Below are 19571 nucleotides of genomic sequence, written 5' to 3' on the forward strand. Positions count from 1 at the left end.
ATTTTAGGTTTGGCGGGCCTCAAGGCGGTATGTAGGTACTTACATAAGAGAGGTGATAAATATCTACAAATTTTTTATTAATGAAATTCAAAATATAAAAATAATAATGGAGTACAATTTTTTGGTAATGCAGGTCTCCTAAGGGGAAGAGAGGAATTATTTTGCGGGGGGGAGGGGGCGCGCATAACATTTATCTTAATTAATTTGGGTTCAGTTGGTCTTTCCTGTGACCCTGTCCTTGCATTCATTGGAAATGTTCGTCTGGAAACACCCTTAGCTCACGGTTGGATAAAAGCTGTCCCGCAGGCCGTGTGTGCCCACCCTGAGCCAGGTCATCTCCTCAGATAGTGGGCTTGGCCCGCACCATTCAGCCTGTGGTGACACAGGATGGAGGCCCTGTAGGGTTCTGTGGGGGACCAAGAAGAGGTAGAGGAGCCCCCACATGGAGGAGGGTGGCCATGGGGTGATGTTGATGCTGAGCCCACGGGGGAACCATGGCCAGGGCCTCCGGGTGACCCCAGAGGTGGTGGCACCGCCCTCAGGCGGTACAGTGGGGCCCATGAACGGAGGAAGAGAAGCATGGGGTTGGGGACATTCAGAGGCCACTGTGCTGCCTGGGTGGCTGTAGCTCTTGCAGAAGGTGGCAAGGCCTGAGGAACTGAATTTGAAATTTGAATGAATCTTTATAGAAACATTCCTCTGTGGCTACCCTGTTGGACAGCACAGGTGTGGAAAATGAGTGAACAGCTTTGTGGTGGTCTCTCCTGTGGTGGACTTCCCTTACCCACAGTGTGCACCGTCCCCACTGTCCCCACACACTGTCCCCGTCCCCTGTCCTGGCTCCAGCTCAGCTGAGCAGCAGAGATTGGAAGAGGCCCCTCGGTAACTTGAGAGGAACCTATAGAAGAGTTTGGGAACTCCAAACAGATGCTTTTAAAGTGGTTTGAAACAGTAGTTTTCCTCAGAAATATTTGGGACACATCCCCCTCTCTGGTTTTTGTGATAAGTTCACTCTGTAAAACTTGTTTGACAAACTGAAGGTCAGCTTCCACCTGGCCCCTGAGAATTAATGAGGTCTGGCCAGGCGGCAGCTGCAGTGCAGGCCCTGCTCCTGTCTTGGGGTCTCTTCGGTTCTTGCCTTTGTTTGTGTTTTTTACACATAAGTTCCCGTGAAAGTTGCTTTTCCCCCGCTCTGAGCTGGAGTGGAGTTTTCGTTTGGGGAGCATGGTAGTTGAGAGCCTGGGTCTGGTTAGAATTCTCAGCCTGATGGGTAGACATCTTTGCTTCCTCGAGACTCAAGCTTTGTTATTTTTTGTTGCTCTAAGATTTCAGTATTTTTTTTTAAATTTTTGATTATTGTGGGTACGTGGTATATATTTTTATGGGGTACATGGGATATTTTGATACAGGCATGCAGTGCATAATAATCACATTAGGGTAAATGGGGCTTCCATCACCTCAAAGCATTTAGCCTTCTTTTGTGTTACATCTCAATTATACTCTCTTAGTTATTTTTAAATGTACAATAAATTATTGTTGACCTTTGTCACCCTGTTTCTATCAAATACTAGATCTTATTCATTCTGTCCACCTATATTTTTGTACCCATTTACCATCCCCACTTCCACCCCACCTACCCTTCCCAGCCTCTGGTAACCATCCTTCTACTGTCAGTCTCCATGAGTTCAATTGTTTTCATTTTTTTTTTTTTTTTTTTTTTTTTGAGACGGAGTCTCGCTCCGTCGCCCAGGCTGGAGTGCAGTGGCGCGATCTCGGCTCACTGCAAGCCCCGCCTCCCGGGTTCACGCCATTCTCCTGCCTCAGCCTCCCGAGTAGCTGGGACTACAGGTGCCCGCCACTACGCCCGGCTAATTTTTTTGTATTTTTAGTAGAGACGGGGTTTCACCGTGTTAGCCAGGATAGTCTCGATCTCGTGACCTCGTGATCCACCTGCCTCGGCCTCCCAAAGTGCTGGGATTACAGGCGTGAGCCACCGCGCCCGGCCCTGTTTTCATTTTTTTTTATGGCTCTTTTCAGTTTATTTCATGAAGGAGTTACACTAGTCCAAGTTAAAAGCGGACCCCAAATGGTTACATTATACAAGCTGTGAGGTTTTTAAACTTGTGACAAGGGACAGAAGGGAAATTCTACTCATTGCAAGGAAATCCTCACTTAAACTACAGTGAGCCACAAGCATTTAAACCCCATGAATCTTCAGCTGATCGTCCTTAGCCAGTCCAAGCTCTACGAGGAACTGGCATAATATATGTTCTTGCACCTGTCACCCTGTAGCTGAATTACTTCTCCATATTCTGGATGCTCAATTACAGTACCATTGCAGGCAAACTTCTTAAACGCCTTCACTGGTTTCTTTTTGGTGTAATCATCAGCGATCCCTTGGACAGTAGTAAGGGCCTTCCTGCCGTTTCTCTGTTGAATTCTTATATGGATATAATCCTCAGTGCCAGCAGGAAGCAGGTCATCACCCTTACTTGCATCAGCAAAGGAGTTTAAATAGTGGAGGTTCTGGATAGTGGACATACGATCCAATTTCTTTTTCTCGGTGGAAATGGTCTGCGGAAGACGGCGGGCAGAGGGTACGGAAAGTAGGGAAGCGACGGGGCCCAAGGGGGAGGCTGCTGAGTCCTCGGCAGTGGCTCAGTGACTGGGGTGGTTTTAATTTTTTTTTTTAGCTCCCACAAATAATTGAAAACATGGAGTGTTTGTCTTTCTGTACGTGGCTTATTTCCCTTAACATAATAACCTCTATTTCCATCCACATCATTGCAGCTGACAGGATCTCATTCTTTTTTATGGCTGAATAGTACTCCATTGTGTATAGGTACCACATTTTCTTTATTCATTCTTCTGTTAGTGGACACTTAGATTGTTTCCAAATCTTGGCCATTGTGAACAGTGCTGCAGTAAACACGGGAGAGCAGGTACCTCTTTAGTATACTGATTTCCTTTCTTTTGGGTATGTACACAGCAGTGGAATTGCTGGATCATATCATAGCTCTATTTTTAGTTTTTTGAGGAACCTCCATACTGTTCTCCATAGTGGTTGTACTAATTTACATTCCCACCAATAGTGTACAGGGGTTCCCTTTTCTCCACATCCCCACAAGCATTTGTTATTGCCTGCCTTTTGCCTATAAACCATTTTAACTGGGGTGAGATTATATCATTGTAGTTTTGATTTGCATTGCTCGGATGATCAATGATGTTGAACACCTTTTTGTATGCCTGTTTGCCATTTGTATGTCTTCTTTGGAGATATGTCTATTTATATCTTTTGCCCTTTTTAAAATTGGATCATTAGATTTTTTCCTATAGAGTTGTTTGAGCTTCTTACATATTTTGGTTATTAATTCCTTGTCAGATGGATAGTTTGCAAATATTTTCTCCCATTTTGTGGGTTGTCTCTTCACTTTGTTGATTGTTTCCTTTGCTGTGCAGAAGCTTTTTAACTTGATATGATCCCATTTATCTGTTTTTGCTTTGGTTGCCTGTGCTTGTGGGGCATTACTCAAGAATTCTTTGCCCAGACCAGTGTCCTGCAGTTTCTCCATTTCTTATAGGAGTTTCATAGTTTGAGGTCATAGATTTAAGTCTTTAATCCATTTTGGTTTGATTTTTGTGTATGGTGAAAGATAGAGGTCTAGTTTTATTCTTCTGAGCATGGATATTTAGTCTTCCCAGCACAATTTATTGAAAAAATTGTCCTTTCCCCAGTGTATGTTCTTGGCACATTTGTAAAAAATGAGTTCACTGTAAATGTATGGATTTATTTCTGGGTTCTCTATTCCATTAGTCTATGTGTCTGTTTTTATGCCAGTACCATACTGTTTTGGCTACTATAGCTCTATAGTATAATTTAAGTAAGGTAATGTGGTTCCTCCAGTTTTGTTCTTTTTGCTTAGAATAGCTTTGGCTATTCTGGGTCTTTTGTGGTTCTATATAAATCTTAGGGTTATTTTTTCTATTTCTGTGAAGAAAAGCATTGGTATTTTGATAGAGATTGCATTGAATCTGTAAATCGTTCTGGGTAGTATGGACATTTTAACAATATTGATTCTTCCAGTCCACAAATATGGAATATCTTCATTTTTTTTGGTGTCCTCTTCAATTTCTTACATCATCGTTTTATAGTTTTCGCTGTAGAGATCCTGTACTTCTTTGGTTAATTCCTAGGTATTTAATTTTATTTGTAGCTATTGTAAATGGGATTATTTTCTTGATTGCTTTTTCAGATTGTTCACTGTTGGCATATAGAAATGCTACTAATTTTTGTATGTTGATTTTGTATCCTGCAACTTTACTGAATTTATCTATCAGTGTAACCACCCAATGGGTTCACCTTGCCCGCTGCTGCCTAGACCAAGCTGATTTATCAAGACAGGGGAACTGCAGTAGAGGAAGAGTAATTCACGCAGAGCCAGCTGTGCAGGAAACTGGAATTTTATTATTATTCGAATCAGTCTCCTGGAGCATTCGGGGATCAGAGTTTTTAAGGATAATTTGGTGGGTCAGGGCCAGTGAGTTGGGAGTGCTGATTGGTTGGGTCGGAGATGAACTCATAGGCAGTCAAAACTGTCGTTTTGTGTTGAGTCAGTTCCTGGGTGGGGGCCACAGGACCAGATGAGCCAGTTTATTGATCTGGGTGGTGTCAGCTGATCCAGTGAATACAGGGTCTGCAAAATATCTCAAGTGCTGATATTATGTTTTACAATAGTGATGTTATGCAGCCTCCAGCTGCATGACTCCTAAACCATAATTTCTAAACTTGTGGCTAATTTATTAGTCCTGCAAAGGCTGTCTAGTCCCCAGGCAGGAAGAGGGGTTTATTTTGGGAAAGGGCCATTGTCATCTTTGTTTCAAAGCTAAACTGTAAGTTCCTCCCAAAGTTAGTTCAGCCTAGGCCCAGGAATGAACAAGGACAGCTTGGAGGTTAGAAACAGGATGGAGTCAGTTATGTCAGATCTCTTTCACTGTAATAATTATCTCAGTTATAATTTTTGCAAAGGTAGTTTTTTCAGTTCTGATAGTTTTTATGATGGCATCTTTAGGTTTTTCCAAATATAAGATCACATCATCTGCAAACAAGGCTAATTCAACTTCATCCTTCCAATTTGGAGGCCCTTTATTTCTTTCTCTTGTCTAATCTCTAGCTAGGACTTCCAGTGCTGTTTTTATATATAGTTGGCATAAGACTGTTTCTAGCATTCAATCTTTTTTTTTTTTTTTTTTTTTGAGACAGAGTCTCATTTTGTCACCCAAGCTGGAGTACAGTGGTGTGATCTCCGCTCACTGCAACCTTTGTCCCCCAGGTTCAAGCGATTCTCCTGCCTCAGCCTCCTGAGTAGCTGGGATTATGGGCATGCACCACCATGCCCAGCTAATTTTTGTATTTTTAGTAGAATCGGAGTTTTACCATGTTGTGCAGGCTGGTCTGGAACTTCTGACTTCAAGTAATCCGGCCATCTCGGCCTCCCAAAGTGCTGGGATTACAGGCATGAGCCACCGCGTCCAGCCTAACACTCAATCTTAAACAATCATTCTAGCTTCTCGTCCTGACCAAGTTTAATTTTAATTGTCTATAAATATGCACCATAATGAAGGGTGTGTTTCTGAATAGGGAGGTAATTGCTTTTCCCACTTGCAATTTTAATTAAAAATTACCTCTTCCACCTACCTCACCTTTATTTCTAATCTGTTTAACAGATTGTAGAAAAGCAAGTTTATGCACTCATCCCTGAGTTCAGGAAGCACTACTTCCTCTTTGGTAACAAAGGTAGAAGATTCCATATGGTGACCTATTTTTTCAAGAGTTTTATGCAGTAAATGATCAGGGACGGGTGTGTCCCATGACATAATATGGGAGGAAATTTGTCAGAGTTCAATTGTGTTATTAAGGTATGTTGTCTGTGAGCAGCCTTTTACATTGAAGTTTACCACCGCTTCCAGTCCCATGTTTTGTTTTTTCATTTGTCTGTTTTTTTTTTTTTTTTAAGAGACAGGGTCTGTCTGTCACCCAGGCTATAGGGCAGTGGCGCAATCATGGTTCGCTGCAGCCTCCAACTTCTGGATTTAAGTGATCCTCCCTCCTCAGCCTGGGATTACAGGTGCATGTTCCCATGCCCGGCTAACTTATTTTTATTTTTTGTAGAGACAGGGTGTCACTGTTGGCCAGGCTGGTCTCAAGCTCCTGGTCTCAAACATTCTTCCCACCTTGGCCTCCCAAAGCACTGGTATTATAGTAGGTGTGAGCTACCGCATCCAGCCTAGTCCTTGTGTTCTTAGCACGGTTGACCCAAACTCCTGTAGACACAAGATCACTCTGTCATCTGTGGGAGTATCAGAGGCAGGAGGGCTGAAATCTGGTTGAGAGAGACAGCACAGATCTCCCTGGCTGGCTTTTCCAGAACGGCTACTGCCCAGCTTTAGCCCTGAATGGCTTTTGAACCATGGGTTCCAGCCAGTTCCCTCTTCTTTGCGTAGCCTCTCCCTGAATGCACTTCCTGCCTGCCCTGATCCATTACCCTCCCTGTGGCCTGAGTAACCTTCAAGCACAGCTCCCGTTTCCCCTCTGGGAAGCACTGTTGCCTGGCACTTGAGCCCCTGCATTTTGGGCTCATCATCCTTTCCTGAGCTGCTTCTTGAGTCCTGTTCTGTGGCAAGCTCTCTGGTAGGCACTGGGGATACAATGAACAAATATCAGTGACTGACCTTAGAGGAAAGCATTAAAAAAACTAAAAAGAGGCGGTACGATTAATTTTGTTGATATTTTCTATAACCTAAGATGTCCACAATATTGTTTTAACGTGGCACTTAGCCACATTTCAGGTGCTCCGTAGACACGTGCTGGTAGCTGCTGTAGTGGATGGCTGTGGCCTAGAGGCAGAGCTGGACAAGTTAAAAAAGCAGTTCTGTGCACGTAGTAAGTCCTGGGCTCCTGTTTTCATCGTTAATTTGTGTTTCTCTAGGTGATTATCTTTTGTGAGTTGTGAATTCCAAGAAGGCACAGGCATTGCCTTGTCCTGTTTTCCTCACCATTGTGTCAGTAATACCTTGCAGGTAGAAGGTGCTCACACCATTTTATCCAATGAAATGCTAAGCACAGGGCATTATGGGAAAAGCTGAGATGAGTACCTGCCACCCTATCGTGGAGGTGGCAAGGCATCAGAGGCCTTCTCAGGAGAGAGGAGTGTGTGCACGGGCTGGGAAGACAGCAGGGGGAGGGGGAGCCACAGGTAGCTCATTATGATGGAAGCTTGGGGTACATGTGAAAGTGATGGAGAATATGAGGAGCTGATGCCAGAGAAGCAGGCAGAGCTCAGATGATCAGATTTTTAAAGCTTGCTAAAGATGTTATTCTGAGAACACCAGGAAGCCTTATAGTGCCTGGGCTGGGACCTGCCCCTCAAGCCTTCCTGTGTCATCTTTTTTTTCTCTTTTTTTTCTTTTTGAGACAGAGTCTCACCCTGTTGCCCAGGCTGGAGTGTAGCGGCACAATCTTGGCTCACTGCAACCTCCACCTCCCAGGTTCAAGCGATTCTTTTGCCTCAGCCTCCTGAGTAGCTGGGATTACAGGCACACCCACCAACACGCCCGGCTAATTTTTGTATTTTTAGTAGAGACAGGGTTTCACCATGTTGGCTAGGCTGGCCTCGAACTCCTGACCTCAAGTGATCCTCCCACCTCGACCTCTCAAAGTGTTGGGATTACAGGCATGAGCCACTGCGCATGGTCTCTTTCTTCTTTATTCGTGAGGTGTTTTCTCCCTTTACACTTGCTGGCCCATGGAAGGTGCTTAGTAAGAATGGTGGCTGACTTCTAATGCTTCCAGAGAGCCTGACAGGCTGACATGGGTGTCTTCCACTGTCTGTGGGGAGGCTTAGAAAGAGGAGTGGCTTTTATTAATATTATGAGTGTGGATCAGATCCTGCTGGAGCCAATGGCAAAGCCTGGAGCCGGCCCAGATTCTGCGAGAGTGCTAGGCTGCACGGTCACAGATCAAATGTGCTTTTCAAGAATGGCCCCTCTCCTGGGATGGGGAACTTAGAGCTCTGAGGAGCACCGTGAACTGGCACCTCTATGTGTGAGAGCTGTGCTGTCTGACATGTGGTCTAAGCTTCGCGAACTGGTGTTTCTGGCACAGCCCTGAGCACAACCTCAGTCTGCCCACTGGTGCTGGCTGAGCCTGGCCTAGGTCCCGCGAGTCTGCGGCTGGAAGACTGGGGAGGAAAAGTGATGAGACTGCAAGAGAAAGATAATTTAATTATGATTGTCCTGAGTTATTTACTGTTTCCAAGTCCCCTTTTGTATCTTGAAGGAAGGTAGGAATGGATCAGAGATAACCACTTGGGAAAATACGAGTTAACTCCATATAAGAAATCTTGATTATCTTGTATCGGTAACTCTCTACTCTTTAGTATGGCAGGAAAGAATGCCTTTTTTATTTAAATAAACATTTTTAGTTTTAGGTTCACAACAAAATTGAATGGAAAATACAGAAACTTTCCAAATACCCGTTCCCCTTGACATGCATAGCCTCCTCCTTTGTTAACATCCCGCACTACAAGTGGTATGCTGGTGACCCTCAGTGAACCGACAGGGACACATCACTCTCACCTATATCTTTACTTCACCTTAGGGCTCACTCTTGTACATTCCATGGGCTTGGACAAATGTATAATGACATGATTATAACTTCTCTTTGTATTGCAGCCACTCTGTCAAATGTCTGGTGCCTTGTGATCATTTTTCCATTTAAAATTGCCAGCACTAATCATGTCTGTTTTTAGCATCCAATAAAATTATCATTGTGGCATTAGAACCAGGGCTTACGATTCTGCTATTGAAAACTGGTTCAAAAGGTGATTTCAGGAAGGCTGGAAGTCCAGAATCCATTGCTCTGAGGAGCTGTGCTGTGTTTCTGATGATAGGTTGTTGCAGGTTTTTATGATCTAAACTCACATGGGGTAATAATGGACACTCAATAGCAGTAGTTATTATGTGCCAGTAGCTGTAGGGCAGGGTGCTTCATTTAGTTTTCATAGGATAGCCTGTGATTGGCATCGCTATCCCAGTTCACAAATGTTGTCTCCCTCCAGTCACAAGTCACCCTTTGCTTTTCTATGTTGTTTAAGTGGGTTAAAAGGACTTTTTACCCAGCATGTTGGGAGGTTGAGGCAGGTGGATCCCCTGAGGTCAGGAGTTTGAGACCATCCTGTCTAACATGGTGAAACCCCGTCTCTACTAAAAATGCAAAAATTAGCTGGGCATGGTGGCATACCCCTGTAATCCCAGCTACTTGGGAGGCTGAGGCAGGAGAATTGCTTGAACCCAGGAGGCAGAGGCTGCAGTGAGCCAAGATCGTGCCACTGCACTCTAGCCTGGGTGACAGAGCGAGACCCCTTCTCAAAAAAAAAAAAAAAAGAAAAAGAACAAAGGACTTTTTACCTTTGTATCTGTTGTGAAAGTCAAGGTGTAATTAAATTTCCAGGTGTGATTAGTCGTTGAACAGATAACTGTTTGAGCGCCTCCTATGTGCTGGACATTGTGAGTGCCATAGACAACTGCCGTGTAGTAGCTGGTCTATAAACATTTGCTGAATATTATATATGAGAGTACCTCTATCTAATTATTCAACCCTGCAAAGTGGGTATTGTTCCTGCTGGTTTCTGGAGAAGAAATCTGAGGCTCGGGAAGCAATAGGACCCGTCTTCTAACACAGCTTACAAGCTAATGATATTTGGGTTTTTCCAAATCCAGAGTGGGGTTGCCTCCACCTTGTTAGGGCTCTATAGGGGGAAGGGGTGCAGGCACGATAGGAGTCCCTGGCAGGCAGGGGCATCCTGGAGCCTTGCTGGTAACCAAGGAGAACGGAGGGTTCGGCTGGAGTAATTCACTTCGCTGCAGAGGGCTCACGTCCAGCAGGTGCTGTGGGCAGGAGACAGCTTGCATGCTGCAGGAGGAGGAGTTGGTTTTCAGTAATTGCCAACAAACTTCTGCTTAGTGCCATTTGGAAACCAGTCTTCCACACCACACTGAGGGCTTGTCTCCCAGAAACAGGTGCCGAGGGACCTGGCAGAGGAGGCTTGTCTCCCAGAAACAGGTGCCTAGGGACCTGGCAGAGGCAATCAGAGTGGCACTCAACGTGGTGCTCGCTGCTAGCGTGGTCTCAGCACAGACACGGTTTAATGACTGTATTCTCTACATTTTAGGCTTTGGACGTGGACCGGATGGTTCTTTACAAAATGAAGAAATCCGTGAAAGCAATCAACAGCTCTGGGCTGGGTGAGTATACATCCTTCCCTAGAGGTTTCTGTGTGGAAAATGTCGCATTTGAAGTCCTGGTACCGTAATATTGATGACCATTAACAAATGAGCCAGCTAGACTCCTTTATCGGGGCATGCAGATCACAGAGGTGAGCTGGGATGTTTCTTTTTCAGAAGTATGTTTTGTTTTGCCAGTCGTCTGATTCAGGTGTGGGATTTCGTCCCCTGTCATCCCCTGTCATCCTCCGTGCTGTCTGTCCCACGTTGCACTTCCTGTTTTCTGGAGCATCGTCCTGCACGTACCCACTTTGTCAGCCTGGCTGATGGGGGCCTGGATTCATTCCTGCCTCTGTCATTTGGTTTTTGCTGTTAATTGTGTCACAGTGCCCTTTCCGTTTCTCTTTTACCCAGTCTTGCCTTTTCTAGTATAGGAAGAAAATGAATAAATAGACAAACATAAAGTAATATTTGATCTAGATTTACACATACATATTTTTTACACATATATATTTACACATATATATTTTTTAAACCCATGCAACTTTTGGCTTAAAGATGACAAGTAGGTCACCTGTAGCATACCTTCCCTTGTACAAATCCTACGAGTGATACAAAATATTTTTTAAAAGTCGTTAAGTGACTATATAGTTTCATTCAGCAACAAAAAGGTGGCATCCTTGCAGGGCTAGGAACTGTGAGGAGTCCCTGAGAGACTGAAACAGGGCTGATGGGTTGCTCAGGGGAGCTTGCCCGTGCTCAGGTGCAGATAGAGTTTGGGTGACAGGGTGGGAGGAGGAGGGGCCTGGGGTCTGCTCCCACTGAAGTAGTCAGGTCCCTTCATCTATACTGTGTCCCCTCACCCTCGTGGTGTCTTTCTTTAGTGAAAGGGGTGATTGGAACAGGAGGACAGGGAGTGCCTTAGATGGTCGTGGTGTCAGGAGGGAAGGGGAAGAGCCTGGAAGTACACATTCCACCTGCTCCCCCCCACCGCCCCCACCAGTTACAATAGGGCGGGCACAAGCTCCAGTTGCCGCTCTTGATTCTCCCCCCATGAGAGCTGTGCAAGCCACAATCGGGAAGAATCTAGCAGGAAATCCCAGGTGCAGGATAATGTTACAGTTGAGCATTGCCAAGTGTATTTAGGAACAAATTTAACAGAAGACGCACAGGAATCCTACATCAACAAGTACAAAACGCTGCTGACCAAAATGAAAGAAGACCTAAATGAGAAATATGTGATGCACAGGGGTTAGAAGAGTCACCACTGTTAGTGTCAGGCCTCCCCAAACTGATCTGAAGATTCACCCCAACCCCAGTCAGAATTACAGCAGCGGAAATTGACAGGCCTTTTCTAAAACTGATACAGAAGGTGGCCATCCGTCTCTAGCTTTTTTACCTGGATTAAGTGTGGGGCAGGGAGCAATAATGATAGTTTTGATTTTTTTGAACACTTACTGTGTATCTTGTGCTTTCTGTACATTGTGCTAATCTTGTCAACAACTGATTCTCCTTATACAAATGAGTAACCTGCAAATCAGAGAGTTCTGGGTGTTCCCAAGATGTCTGTGCAGCTGGAGCTCAGACCCTGATGGTCTTACTGCTGTGTCAGGGTTGTGTGCAGTGAGTGGCCCACTCTGTTTCAAAGCCACCATGCCTTCAGTGTGTCTGTCACACGGGTGACATCTTGAAGACTTCAGTGAGTCACTAAGAAATGGTACGCCCAGTTTCATTGACAAGCACCAGATTTCAAAAAGTATCTTGGAAGATTTTTTTTTTTTTTACTGCGTTCACTTGGACTTTTTGAGTTTATAACTTGAGGGATATTTGATATTCTGGTCAGACTCAAAAATGATTTTATAGTCATATGTTGAAAAGGTTGCTCTTATCAGAAATAAAAATGAAATAATCTGTGTCTTATGCAAACACTGGCTGTGTAGCTGCTGCTCGTCTGGAGGAGAGACTTGTGTGACTCCCAAGGCTGGCCCAGTGGCTGGCAGTACAGCTTATAAACAGCCCTGCATTTGAAGGGAGAAGGCGCTAGTGCTTCGGTGTCAGGAAGCTGGCCTGCAGGAATTTAACAGCACCTCTGTCTAATTTGCCATGCTGACCTATATTGCTGAGCGTGTACCACAAACCTCATTCCTATTTCTAACCACCCCCAAGCGTCGTTTGCTAAAATGCAACCCCACTGGTGTTACTTCTCTGCCTAAAACTCTATAGCATTTTTTCATCACCCTCTTTGAAGTTCGTGGAAGTCAGTTCCAGAGCATGGGAGAGAGAAGGAAGGCCTCTGTGGGCTTCAGAATTTTAGGGCAATTGGGATAAAGATGGTTCTCTTACCACAGATCCATCCAAAGATTTTAATGTGCTAGTAATGTGGATTGTGAGTGGTTATCGTTCTTAACCCTTTCCCAATTCATCTGTCGATGAAACTGTCACTGCCTCCCCTGATCACCCCACTGTGAGCCTCAGGTGAGTAAATACTGCAGAGCACCAGATGAGTTCCGAGCTCTTGTGCATTGCCTGGACTCAGGCCACCTGTCCCGACCCTCCCCACCTGGACTCCTCTGTGCCCTTCTTTGAAATAACTTGCAGTTTTCCCCAGAGAGCCACGTTTTATGCCTTCTTCCCTCTGCTCATGCTCTGCTGTTTGCTTAAAATAGCATTTGCCACTTTATGAAAGAAAACTGAGGTCCAAGGAAGTTGAGAAGTTTGTTCAAAGTCACAAAGCTCTACAGTGACAGGGCTGGGATTTTAACGTAGCTCCTTGGGCTCATGTCCTTTTTGAGGCCCCGCACATAACAGCCTGGCATGTGACCTTGGAGGGGGTCTCCTATTTTTGTCATCCTTTAGCCATCTATTATGTCATGCCAAGTTTGAGTTATTCTAAGGTCATGAGTCTGAGTCCTGAAAAGTCCTAAGTCCTAAAACCAGAGCCTGATCCTGAAATCTTTATTTCGGAACAAGCGTTGTCTACTGCAAAGAAGTCACCTGAGGAAACGTGATACTTTCTCCTGTCATGTTGATGACATCATTCACAGTGTCTTTAGAACTCTTTAGAACTGCTTTTAGTAGCACGTTCTTTTGCATATATTTAGTAGAGAAGTCTAAGGATAGATTAAATTTTTTTAGAACTAGATGTCAGAAATAAGTCAGGCATATTCAAGAAGGGACTGAGTGCCAGCGACCACAGTTGGCTTCGGTGCACTGTAACTACAGTCATGGGCTCTGAAGGCAGCTGGTTCCAAAGGAGAAGTCCCCATAGTGTTTTGATCACGAGAATAAAGACCAAAGGCAATTCCTGTATAGGAAGAGCGCTCATTTTATGTACGATTGAAAGAACAGTGAGAATAAATTAGCATTTATGCTTCATACTGCCATATTCCTTGTCTTGTCTCATGTTTCTTAATTTCTTTGGGACCAAGATTTCCTGCCTGCTTTCCTGATTTGTCACAGATTGGCCCCATTTGACCCATCTCTGTACCAGTGTCCCTCACTGCAGGCTGCTGGCCTGTCACTGCTTCCTGAGTGTGTGCCAGCTGTACTTCTGTGTCTTTGCACAGCCCCACCCAGTCTGTAAACGGACTCCCCCATCCCAGTCACCTGCAGGGGACCTGCCCTTGCTTCCCCACCCATTTTCATCAAGCCTTAGCTCTCTTTGACTTCAGCGTAGCCCTCTTTGACTCTCTTGTAATAGATTCTTTTTTTTTTCCTCTCTTTTTTTGAGATGGTGCTTCACTCTGTTGCCCAGGCTGGAGTGCAGTGGCATGATCTCGGCTCACTGCAGCCTCCGCCTCCTGGGTTCAAGTGATTTTCCTGCCTCAGCCTCCCAAGTAGCTGGGATTACAGGTGTCTACCACCACACCCAACTAATTTTTGTAATTTTAGTGGAGATGGGTTTTCATCATGCTGGCTAGGCTGATCTCGAGCTTCTGACCTCAAGTGATCCACCAGCCTCGGCCTCCCTGTAATAGTTTCTTATTGCTGTTGTAACAAATTACCATAAAATGAGTTGGCTTAAAATGGCACAAAGTTATCTTTCAGTTCGGCCATGGGAAACCCGACATGGGTCTCACTGGGCTAAAATGAAGATGTTAACAGGGCTCCTTCCCTGAGGCTTCAGGGGAAATCGGTGTCCTTTTCCTGCTCCTAGAGGCCACCTGCATTCCTTAGCTCACGGCTCCCTTCCATCTTCAAAGCTGGTCATGGCCGGTGGTGTCTTTCTCACACTGCATTGCTCTGACACTTAGATGGCTCGGGCTGCTATAACAAAATACCATAGATTGGTGGGTTAAACAACAGAAATTTATTTTCTCACAGGCCTGGGGGCTGGGAAGTCCAAGATCAGGGTGTCAGTGTGGATGGGTTCTGGTGAGGGCTCTCCTCTCCTTCCTGGCTTGCAGACAGCTGCCTTCTCCCTGTACCCTCACATGGCAGCGAGAGAAAGCAAGATGTCCACTTTCTCCTCTTATAAGGACCCTAATGCCATCAGGAGGGCCTCACCCACTTGACCTCATCTAAACCTAATTATTATGCTTCCCGATGGCCCCATCTCCAGACACCATTGCCTTGGGGATTAGGGCTTTAATATATGAATCTGGGGGAAGGGACGCAATTCAGTCCCATAGCAAACACTGACTCTTCTGCCTCCCTCTTCTACATATAAGGACCCTTGTGATGACATTGGCCTCATCCAGATAATCCAGATAATCTCCCCATCTCAAGTTCAGCTGATTAGCAACTGTATTTCATCCACAATTTCAATTCCTCTTTGCCAAGTAGCATAACGTACTCACAAGTTCCAGGGATTAGGAGGTGGGCATCTGGTGGTGGAGGAGACGTTATTCTGTCTACCACACCTCTCCTGAATTCTTAGGATTTGGAGGTTGAATCAGTTTCCACTGTTTTGTTCAGCTACAAATTAAAGGGTACCTAACATGCAGGCACTGTTAACACTTTAAATATTGCTCCTGATTGTTCTCTAGTAGTTTTGTATCTGTTGATCTTTTCTCAGTTAATTAGAAGCCCTTGAGGTGAAAGACCAATTCTGGGAGATGGTGTCATTTAGGATAAAGAAGACGTAGGTATTAGAATCCAAGAACCCTTGATTAAAAGCTAGCAATGCCACTCAAAAAGCCTGTGACATTAGGACGATTATTTTACCTTTCTGAGCCTCAATTTCCTCATGTGTAAAATGGGAATTTAATAGGTCATAGGATTGCTAGTGAAGATTAAGTGAGATAACATGAAAAAGTGCCATGCATGGTTCTGGACATACACGTGGTAAGTGTGACAGCTGTGACATACCTCCTGTGTGTTCCTTGCAGTGGCTGCCATGGGTGTGGGCGGGTAATAGGTGCCCAGTAAATACTGAGTGTTTATACATTATCAGGTTCCTGCTGTATGTACTTACACTGCTTTCTTAGTGTAGGAGGGGTGAACTTACAATTTTAGATGTAAGTGGTGTGTGTTACGACAGGCCCTGTATTCTATTCTTTGAGGATTTATATGGATTTATGTAGAAGGAAGATTTAAGATGCCTTACAATGGAGGCTGGAAAACTGTGGCCAGACACCTGTGTTTTCACAGCCTGAAAGCTAAGAATGGTTTCTTACCATCGTTACCTGCACAATAACCTCAGTATTGCCTCAGCAACCCACAGTGTGATGGTCTCTGGAGATGGGGCCTTTGGGAAGTAATTAGCTTTAGATGAGGGCATGAGAGTGGGGCCCTCATGATGGGGTTAGTGCCCTGCTTAAATATTTACTCTCTGACTTTCTAGGAAAAAGTTTTTGAATCCCTGCATTAGAGCAGTGGTTATAAACTGGAGAGAGTATCAGAATACCCCGGGGTCTTGTTAAAATAGGGATTGAGTTTCTGGTTCAGCAGGTCAGGGTTGGAGCCTGAGTATTTTATTTGCTAATTGAAAAAGCTCCCAGGTGACGGCACTGGACTTTGAGAATCCTACCTCAGAACCCCCCATCCCCACTTCAAACACTGAACTGGGACAAAAGGGTATCTGCATGTCCCACGTGTATACAAAACAGTAGTCTTCTTCCACAATAGTCAGTGCATTATGTTTGCTCCCAGTCTTCAAAATGATGGCAACCCAGCCAGCTGTATTTTCTGGAGAGTCTTAGCTTGGGTTTCCAAAAGCAGTTGTCATAATGATTTATGAGAAACTGTTTGCCACTCAGTGATGGATTGCTTATTTATTTTAAACTCTTACTTGTCTAAAATTTCCCAAGCTCTGGCTCAGCCCAAAGGTGTTCCTTCCACACCCCAGGAAGTTGAAGCTAACATTTTTAGCTGTTTGACATATCAGTGGGTGGAAAAATTCATCTCTATCAAGAAGGAAGCAACAGAAGATTTTCATTTTCACTTCTCTAGAATTATTCTGTCATAAGGACTTGTTAGAACATTCTTATCGAGAGTGATATTCCTACCCTCAATCAGAATATCCTAGAAAATTATCACATTCTTGAAAGTACAAAGAAATGCTGATTTTCCCTCAAATCCTTACCATCTCCCACATACAAAAGAAAATGAGAATACAACAACTTTGTGTGTGTGTTCCTGCCTGTTGTTTGCAGTGTTAATTGGAATATGATATTAAAATACACTTCAAATTCATACAGAAAACTATTTCTATTGTAGATATTATCAATTAGAACAGGGCAGTTCAGAACAAATATATATAATAGTTGAGGAAATGAAGTTTCACTGTGCATTAAGAAGATACTGGCTGGGCACGGTGACTCACGCCTGTAATCCTAGCACTTTGGGAGGCTGAGGCAGATGGATCGCTTGAGCTCAGGAGTTGAAGACCAGCCTAGGCAACATGGCGAAACCCTGCCTCTACAAAAAAATACAAAAATTAGCTGGGCATGATGGTGTATGCCTGTAGTCCCAGCTGTTTGGGAGGGTGAGGCAGGAAGATTACATGAACCTGGGAGGTTGAGGCTGCAGTGAGCTGAAACTGCACCACTGCACTTCATCCTGGGTGACAGAGTGAGACCCTGTCTCCAAAACAGAAAAAAAGGAAAAGGATTTTTTTTAAAAAAGGAAAAAAAAAAATATATATATATATACTGTATCTGATTTCTACCTGTTACATGAGAAAATAACAAAATCAGAATAATCTTTACTGTTTGGCAAGCTTACAGTAACTAGTACTCTGCTCCATTGTTGTGGCACTGAAAACATGCACGCAGAGTTTCTGGAAAGCAGTTTGGTGGTACACATCAAGAAAAATAACAATCTTTTTGTGGAAGGAGATCCATGCACAAAGATGTTCACTTTGTTGTTGCACTGCTTATCAAAGTGAGAAATTGGATGCCTCCTATATATAGCTGAATTAGGATTTAGCTGCTTGCTGGAATTATGTTTATACAGCAACAGGAAGAGAAATGCTTGTGATGAAATCTTCAGCAATAAAATTCAGGATGCAAAATTTATGTACACCGTGTGTGATTAAAAAGGAATAGATGATAAATGATGATAAAGAATATTTTTATTGATATTCACAAACGAGGGTAGAAGCATAGTGGTAATAAATACTCATGAGGTATTTGTTAGAATATTTGTATTATAAAGCTAAATAAAAACTTTATGTGAATTCCATCCTTACAGCCTTGTGAGTTGGGTCCTGTCCATTGACAGATGAGCTCACAGAGGCACTGAGTAGTGATCTGCCAGTGTCATCTAGCCAACAGTTGGAGGAGCTGAGATTCAAAACCAGGTGAGCGTCCCGTCTCTGCTTCTGACTGCTGCGGCATGCTGCCTGGTGCTGAGGCGGGAAGTTGCTGGGGGCACACGGTGGAGAAAACAAGCAGCAACGTGGGGAACACCCTACGTGCCACCTGGCTGAGCCATCGTAGTCCTTCTGAAAAATTCCAGGTGGTTTTGGTTGATTACAGGGTCAGTGTGAGCCAGTACGTGGCACATGCCCCAAAGGTGAGCCACACATGACCTCAGTGAAGTCTTTGGTGCTTATAAATAAGGTTGTTGTTTCATTATTTAGTTGTAAGAGCAGCATTTAAAGAAGAACCTGAAAACCTTAGGGATGGAGAAACCTCCTTGTAGGACGGATATCTGAAGGACGCGGGGCTCCTGGTTTCGGAAGGGGCAGGAGAGGGCGTACATGAAGGGCTTTCTCTGGCTGAGGAAGGTAGACATAGTATTTGTTCCTCTCTAGAGGAGGCTTTCACAAGAGCAAGCCTTGACTCAGATATGAGGGAGAGGATAACTGGGTGAGCAGACTGAGCGGCGAGCTGGTGGTTGGAAGGTTCCTGCAGCGGGTGGACGGCCTCTGTCTCTGAGGAAGTTATAGAGGGAGGTGAGGACGTGGGCTCGAAGGCCCTGGAGATGTCTTCCAGTTGTGAGACTCTGGAGTCCAGCCTTCTCCCCGCTGCTGGCTAACAACAATGATTGGAATTTAGATGGTGACTTGTGGAATCCTGTCCGCAGTGACCACTGCATTAGTCATGGAAGGAGGGTACCTCTGAAGGAACACAGAGGTCTGTGACTTAACTAACGTCCAAGTGTTGGCATGAATCATACTTTGGTTCAGAGGTATCTGCTATTTAATTTGGCTGGCTTTTATAGTCAGCCAGTCTGTGGGCCAACCTGCTGGCCGCATGCATCTGTAAGACATGGGGCTGCAGTTTCATCAGTGGTTCTTTAATCTTTTGGTTATCATAGACATCAGTAAAAATAAGAAGGCTGTTTTGGATGATCCCTCCAGGAAAAGGTACCTTTACATAATTTTGCATACACTGTTTGGGATGCCCATACCCCCATAAACCTGTCCGCAAACCCAACCTACCAAGCAAAAAAGCTCAGACCTTGAGCTTAAATCTTCTACCAAATCAACACGATGACTTCATCTGTTTCCTCATCTGTAAAATCCTGCAGAGTTGTAAGGATGAAAGATATTTCTACACGTATGTCATCTCCACAGTGTTCATGGTAGCTACTATCTGAGGCTTTAGAGACCATGTACTTTCCAAGGGCTGCTTGTCCCTGAGGGTGAGGCTCCAGGATCTCGTGAAACCACAGGAGTCAGCTTGCTTCCCAGGGGCTGTGCCCTCCATGGAGTTGGGTGGGGGCAGCGTGTGTTTTTAAGTCATCACTGTGGTGAGCGTGGGGTCATGGGGTATGACGTGGCAAAAATGAAGGGCTGAAAGCTGCTTACCCTGGCAAAATGCACATTCTGTAATGTAGCGAGTCAGATTGCTTTGCCAACATGAACTCTTCCTCCATTAAAGGATGTGAATATAATTGGG

The 19571-nt window shown here is 44.6% G+C and overlaps 1 protein-coding gene and 1 pseudogene across 22 annotated transcripts in view, besides 1 other annotated feature; one reads left to right on the forward strand and one right to left on the reverse strand.

The window, feature by feature from the left end:
• Positions 1–19571, forward strand: part of ASAP2 (ArfGAP with SH3 domain, ankyrin repeat and PH domain 2) — a 198867-nt gene that overhangs the window by 62276 nt on the left and 117020 nt on the right. For 20 of the 22 annotated variants that reach the window (XM_011510403.4, XM_011510407.3, XM_011510404.3 and 17 more), the window contains one exon: positions 10230–10302. In XM_011510403.4, coding sequence (XP_011508705.1) covers positions 10230–10302 — 73 coding nt within the window. Of the gene's footprint in view, positions 1–10227; positions 10303–17916; positions 18026–19571 lie in introns of those variants that run through there. The other 2 variants (XM_011510409.1, XM_047446229.1) reach the window with 1 other exon arrangement.
• EIF1P7 (eukaryotic translation initiation factor 1 pseudogene 7) lies at positions 2024–2671 on the reverse strand (annotated as a pseudogene).
• Positions 18207–19406: an enhancer, noted in NCBI's record as "CDK7 strongly-dependent group 2 enhancer chr2:9427423-9428622 (GRCh37/hg19 assembly coordinates)". NCBI's record gives its function as "activates an origin of replication core promoter dependent on BRD2, BRD4, P300/CBP, MED14 and CDK7 cofactors, with strong dependence on CDK7, by STARR-seq in HCT116 cells {active_cell/tissue: HCT116}" and the evidence as "EXISTENCE:reporter gene assay evidence [ECO:0000049][PMID:35650434]".

The sequence above is a fragment of the Homo sapiens genome, chromosome 2, assembly GCF_000001405.40.
Source record: "Homo sapiens chromosome 2, GRCh38.p14 Primary Assembly".
Classification (NCBI taxonomy): Eukaryota; Metazoa; Chordata; class Mammalia; order Primates; family Hominidae; genus Homo; species Homo sapiens.